Source organism: Homo sapiens, chromosome 10, assembly GCF_000001405.40.
Source record: "Homo sapiens chromosome 10, GRCh38.p14 Primary Assembly".
Classification (NCBI taxonomy): Eukaryota; Metazoa; Chordata; class Mammalia; order Primates; family Hominidae; genus Homo; species Homo sapiens.
In genome coordinates this window covers 13,623,959-13,630,125 of record NC_000010.11, presented here as the reverse complement: position 1 = coordinate 13,630,125, position 6,167 = coordinate 13,623,959, and the positions used below count along the sequence as shown (strand labels likewise).

Genomic DNA, 6,167 nt, shown 5'->3' with positions numbered 1-6,167 from the left:
TGCCTAGAGAAATTTTTCTTGTGCACCTGCAGGTCCACACAAGAATGTTCATCACAGAACTGTTCACAATAACAAAACCAAAAAACTGGTAACAACCCAAATTTCCATCCATAGGAGGACATATGAAAAAAACTTTAGTGTGCTCACAAATGGGATATCTTACAGCAGTAAAAATGAATTAACTCTAGCTACATGTAACAATTCGGCCAGTCTCAACCAGGTTCCAATAGAGAATTAAGCTCCAAATGCCCAGCCTAAGGCATCCATTGTATGTAACGAGATAACTTCTCCCTTATGCATCTAAAATTTAGGAGACTATTTATGTATCATGTTTGGAGGACTGAGAAAATACACTCCAATTATTTTCTGTGTTCTGTGGTCAAGATGAGGGGCTCTGGTTGGGAAAGGCCGATGTATATGAATCTTAGAAGCAATGTCGAAAGTAAAAAGCAAGTGGCATGAAGTGTTACTACCTTCAGTGACATCCTTTTCATAAAATTCAAAAACAAGTAAAAAATGTATTACTTAGAAATGCACATATAACATGGTGGAACGGTTTTTCAAAAAGAAAGGAAATGACAAACTTAAGTGCAAGGTAATGGTTACTTCTGGAGTATGGAAGGACAATATTGTTTCAATGGTTTTCAGAATGTTCTAGTTCTTAAACTGGGAGTAAGGCTTTTAGACATTCATTTTATTACTTACTTTATAACTTGTGTTTTACATGTATTCTTTTGTATGTACCAAATATTACACAATAAAACCACTTTAATATGTCAGTAAAAACTGAGTACAACATTCCAAGCGTGACCTGGCCATTCTTGCAGAATTCACTAGAAGTAGTCACTGCACTACTTTTGTTCTGTATCTTGGCAACTGTAACCAAGACCCTTAGCTGTTTTTAGACAACTACAATACACACACCTAATTCCCACCGATCTCACAAAATTCAAGTGCCTTTTGTCTCTACAGCAGTTTGGCCAGTTCTCCAGTGTATAACTTTATAGTTAGATTTTTTAAGCTGATGAAAACAACTATCACTATTCAATTTCATCCTGTCTCTTTCAACTCATCCTTCAGTCTGTGATCTTTCAGAATCCTTGGTCGACATTTAGCTTTAGTTATTCTTCTTAGCTTTCTCATCCACCACTCGGTAAACATGTCCTCTAAGTCATTATCCAAATACTCAATACCGTGCGCAAACAGGCCAGGGCAAGGGCAGAGACCTGAGACACACCACGATTGAGCTCTCTCCAAAACGATCTTGGGAAGAGTTTGTAACCAGCAATGAATCCTATTCACTGTGCAATTCATTAACACACACATTTCCTTGTTTACAAGGAAAGACTTTGCCAAAGGTCTTACTGAAATCTACGTAACTTAACACCTGTTAAGCTCAATAAAATCACCAAAACAAACAAACAACACAAAAATCCCTGCAAAATCTCATTGGTCCCATAGTAAGCAGACAACACAAATATTAATCACAGTCAGTATCCATGGGTTATGTGTCCATGGATTCAACCAACCCTGGTTAAAAAATATTCAGAAAAAAACGGCAACAAAAAAAGAATTAAAAATAATACAAATAAATATCATATAATAACTATTTAAATAGCATTTACATTGTGTTGGGTATTGTAAGTAATCTAGAGATGATTTAAAGTATACAGGAGGATGTGCATAGATTATATGCAAATACTATGTCATTTTCTATCAGGGACTTGAGCATCCAGATTTTGGTATCTGCAGGGTCCTGGAACCAATCCCTGAGGATATTAAGGGACAAATGACATACTTCTATGAATGGAGCCATAATCTAACAGATTCCACATCAGAGAAACAAGACTGTGAAGTATTTAAAGTCCTTGGTGGATTCAAGGATTGCCCACATTATGAGATTTAGGAATTAGGGGTGTGGAGGGAGGTTATCTTTCAACTGATTCACAAGAAGGGCTTTTGCACACGTCATTCACTTGGCTCCTTTTTGTTGTTGTTGTTCCCTGTGTAATCAGGTATTTGCTTTGGGATAAAGACCATTCCATCACATAGTCCAGCTTATCCTGCTGTGAATTCTAATCATGTGTATGCAGAACTTTGATCGGTAGCCATGGAAATATAGATGATAGCACTAATTTGGCATCTTAAGGTTCCTGAAGGAATAGGTGAGAAGAGGGGCAAAGTCAGGCAAGAGAACACCCTGATGAAATACAAATAGCTTCACTCAGCAGCAGAGCATGGCAAGAATTGTTATGCGCAAGCGGAAGGCAAACTGATGGTTTGCCTTGGAGGTGGTTTTCCCCATGTCAGAAGAATTGGAATCTTAGGTGTGTGCTCCTTACAGAAGACGTGTGTGATGCCTATTTATACTCACTAAGCAGATTCTATGATTTAAAAACATATACTAGTGTTCTCCCTGAAATCTTAGCTGCCAAGGGTTGTGAAACTCAATTGTTTTAGTCATAAGTAGTTACCACAGAGCGGTATGATACATTTTTGTAAAAAAGATTTGAGAGTGCATGGCAGAGATAGGTGTGTAATCTCAGGACAGAATATCGTTATTTTCCAGATGGAAACAAATCTTTTCAATTAGACCCCTCAGGATTTCAGTTTCAAACTGCTTATGGATGCTTAAGCCAGTAAAACAATGAGCTGCTTAGCTTAGCTTATGGCAAATGGCTTAAAAACTTGTGGTATTTTTAATTGGCTTTTTATTTATATAAAGGCAATACCCTTATCTAACAAATGTTTATTCAGTGCCTACTATACATACTGTTCTAGGCTCTGGAAATACAGTAGCGAAGAAGCCAGAAAAAATCCCACCCTCCTGAGATCGAATTGTGGTAAGGGAAGACAGGCAAGAAACAAAATAAATTCATAAAAAAAAATTTTCAACGATGCTAAGTGCTTTGGAGAAAATAAAGCAGGCAAGTGGGGTAAGTGGACGTGTGGGGCAACCTGAAGGACTTTGGCTTGGACTCTGTGAACTAGGAAGCCCCTGCAGGGTTCTGAACAACAGAGCAACACGATCTGACTGTATGTGAACTGGATCAGTCTGGGGAATGCTGCTAAGAAACTGGAGAGGAGCAATAAGAGAAACTCAGGGACCAGAGAGAAGACACTGGAATAATTCAGATGAGAGGTGGTGGCTGGACCCAGTGGCAGCAAGGAAGGTGGTGAGAAGGGATCGGGCTCCAGACATACTTTGAATATAGAACCATCAAGCTTTGACATGGATAGGATATGGGTTGTGACAGGAAGAAAAAAGCCAAGGATAATTCCGGGTTTTCTGTGTACACTGTTTGAGGGGAAAAAAAAAAAATCACACGATTCTTGTATCAAATAATAGCAGTCCTCTACCTCACTCTTTCCAAATCCTAATTCCAGCTCTCCACAGGCAACCCTTTTCAAACGTTTTAAGTGTTTCCTCTGGCATTTATTGCCACATTTCTAAATACTATACTGACAGTGCTTGGTTTTTCCACCAGATATTAGTGATATCTCCTGACTTCCTACTATGAAGCAGAGGATATCTCACTCTTACACCACTGTCCACTGGCCCCACATATGCACGCACACGCCTCAAAAGCACTTTCTCCCACATCCTCCCCAAACCACATTTTTAGTGAAATCAATATTCAGGGTTTTCCTTATAAAGGCTACACAAATATCGTTCAAAGCAAACCCACATAACATATTATGATGATGACCTCTCATAAGTTTTTTTCCCCTTTTTGTTTTGTTTTTCTAATCCATTCTCCAACATGAGACTACCCTCACATGCCCAAACATCACTCAGGATCTGATCAGACATGCCAGGGAATATAAGCTCTTCCATTTCTTCCTGGAGTCCTTCAACCATCTACTCTAACCTGGACCCACTTGTACTGCTACCATCCTGGAGCATGACATCCCTGCAGCTCCAGCCTGGGGATTCCTCTCGCCTTGCTCTGTGGTGGATCTCAGCTCTTGGATCTTTTTCTTTGGATGGAGGACATCCTCAGGTAGAGTCAAGACTGCCCACATTCCAATCCCAATTCTACCACTGACTAGCCATGTGACCTTGAGAACTCACTTCTCTACGCCTCTTCCCCACTTACAAAACAGGGAAATGTGAGTGTCCATCTCATATTGTGGCTGTAAAGTACTGAAGGGAAGCACAGTAAGCACTACTTAAGTGTCAGCTATGACGATAATGACTACAGAGAATGTGTGCATGGGAGATGTCATTAGCCTATATTTACCCTTCACTTGATGGTTCAGAAAGGAAGAGAATTCTGAGTTGGACAATATTTCCCTAGCTATTGCAAAGGTACTGCTCTACTGTCTTCTACCTTCTAGTGCTATCAGTGAGAAGTATGACAGTATTTTAATTCCTGCACCTTTGTAAGCGACCTTTTCTCTGAAGTCTTTGAAATCTTCTCTTTAGCTTTGGCCTTCCAACATGCATTCTTTTGTGCCTTGATGTGAACTCTTCCTATTCATTTGCGCTGTATTAAGTGAATTCTTTTCATTCTACAAACTCACGTCCTTCAGGTCTGGGACGTTTTCTTACATTAATTCTTTATTTCCTATCTTCCCTTTTCTGTTGTAATGGCTATAAACGTTATAGATTGACTCTTATTTTCTTACCTTTCCTGCTTTTCATATTTCAACTTTATCTTCTAACCCACTAATGTAATTACTAAATTTTTGCTGATTTAAATTTTTGCTAATTTTTAAGAGTTCATTTTGATTCTCAAACTTTTTTATAGCCTAATGTTCTTATTTCATGGCTACAACGTTACCTAAGAATTTTTTTGTTTGTTTTGTTTTCAGACCCGTCTGTCACCCAGGCTGGAGTGCAGTGGCACGATCCTAGCTCACTGCAGCCTCAAACTCCTGGGCTCAAGCAATCCTCCTACCTCAGCCTCCTGAATAGGCATGCACCACCACGTCCAGCTAAATTTTTTATTTTTTGTAGAGAAGGGATCTATTTTGCCCAGGCTGGTCTAGAACTCCCGGTCTCAAGCACCCCTCCCACCTCAGCCTCCTAAAGTGGTGGGATTACAGGCATGAGCCACCACGCTTGGCCTCTAAGGATATTAATTATCATTCTCAATGAAATTTTTTTCTGTTCTCTATAATTCTGTTTCTATGAAGGTCTTTTTTTCTGTGTGTTTTGGTCTCTGTTTTCATGTTGGAGACTTTCTCCAAATGTCTGATGAATCTTAGGTGAACATTCATGCTGATGAGTAACGCACTATAGAGCTGAATGGAAAAACTCCCTGAATAGGTGGGGCTTGCCCATAGGACAGCATTTTCAGATGACAGGGCAGCAAGCTGGTTTTTTCACTGAAGGAACACTTAAGTGTTAGTAACTCAGATGCTTTCTCTTGGGTCAGTTTCACAGAGCAGAATCCTCCAACTTACTAACTGAGGGGTGAAAGCCTGGCTGCCAGCATCAGTGGAATCCAGGAACTAAAGGTCTCATTTGTCAATATTGTATATTCCACTCAATTTTCCTGTTTTCAGTATGATATCTTACCCTTCCTGAGCAGTACATATCCATCCAAAAGCAACCCGATTTTCTGCTAGAGTGGGAGGAGGGCGGGGAGCCCCACTTGGGCAGGCAACCTCTGGACTACTTATCCTAATTCTCAACCACTCCTTCTTTTCAGCCTTCTCCCATGGCCTGGCCTTTGAGAAGTGCCTAATATCCTCCGTGTCCCCAGGTTTTCTAGTTTCTACAGTGGGAACTGTTTGGTTCCGTAATGACTGCCTCCCATACAATATTTAGCTATATTCATTTTTCAAATATCAATGTGTTTAGAGGAAAATGTTCTGCATTTAAAAGTCTAATTGGTGAGGCCAGCTGCGGTGGCTCACGCCTGTAATCCCAGCACTCTGGGAGGCCAAGGCAGGCAGATCACTTGAGGTCAGGAGTTCGAGACCAGCCTGGCCAACATGGCATACCATGTCACTACGAAAATACAAAAAAAATCAGCCAGGCATGGTGGCACACACCCAGCTACTCAGGAGGCTGAGGCATGACAAGTGTTTGAACCTGGGGGGTGGAAGTTGCAGTGAGCCAAGATCATGCCACTGCATTCCAGCCTGGGAGACGGAATGAGACCCTGTCTGAAATAAATAAATAAATATCTAATTGGTGAACTGTACACATAAAA

The 6,167-nt window shown here is 40.4% G+C and overlaps 1 protein-coding gene across 62 annotated transcripts in view; it reads right to left on the bottom strand.

Annotated features, from left to right (window-relative positions):
• PRPF18 (pre-mRNA processing factor 18) overlaps positions 1-6,167 on the bottom strand; it is a 68,965-nt gene that overhangs the window by 25,804 nt on the left and 36,994 nt on the right. The window lies entirely within an intron of this gene.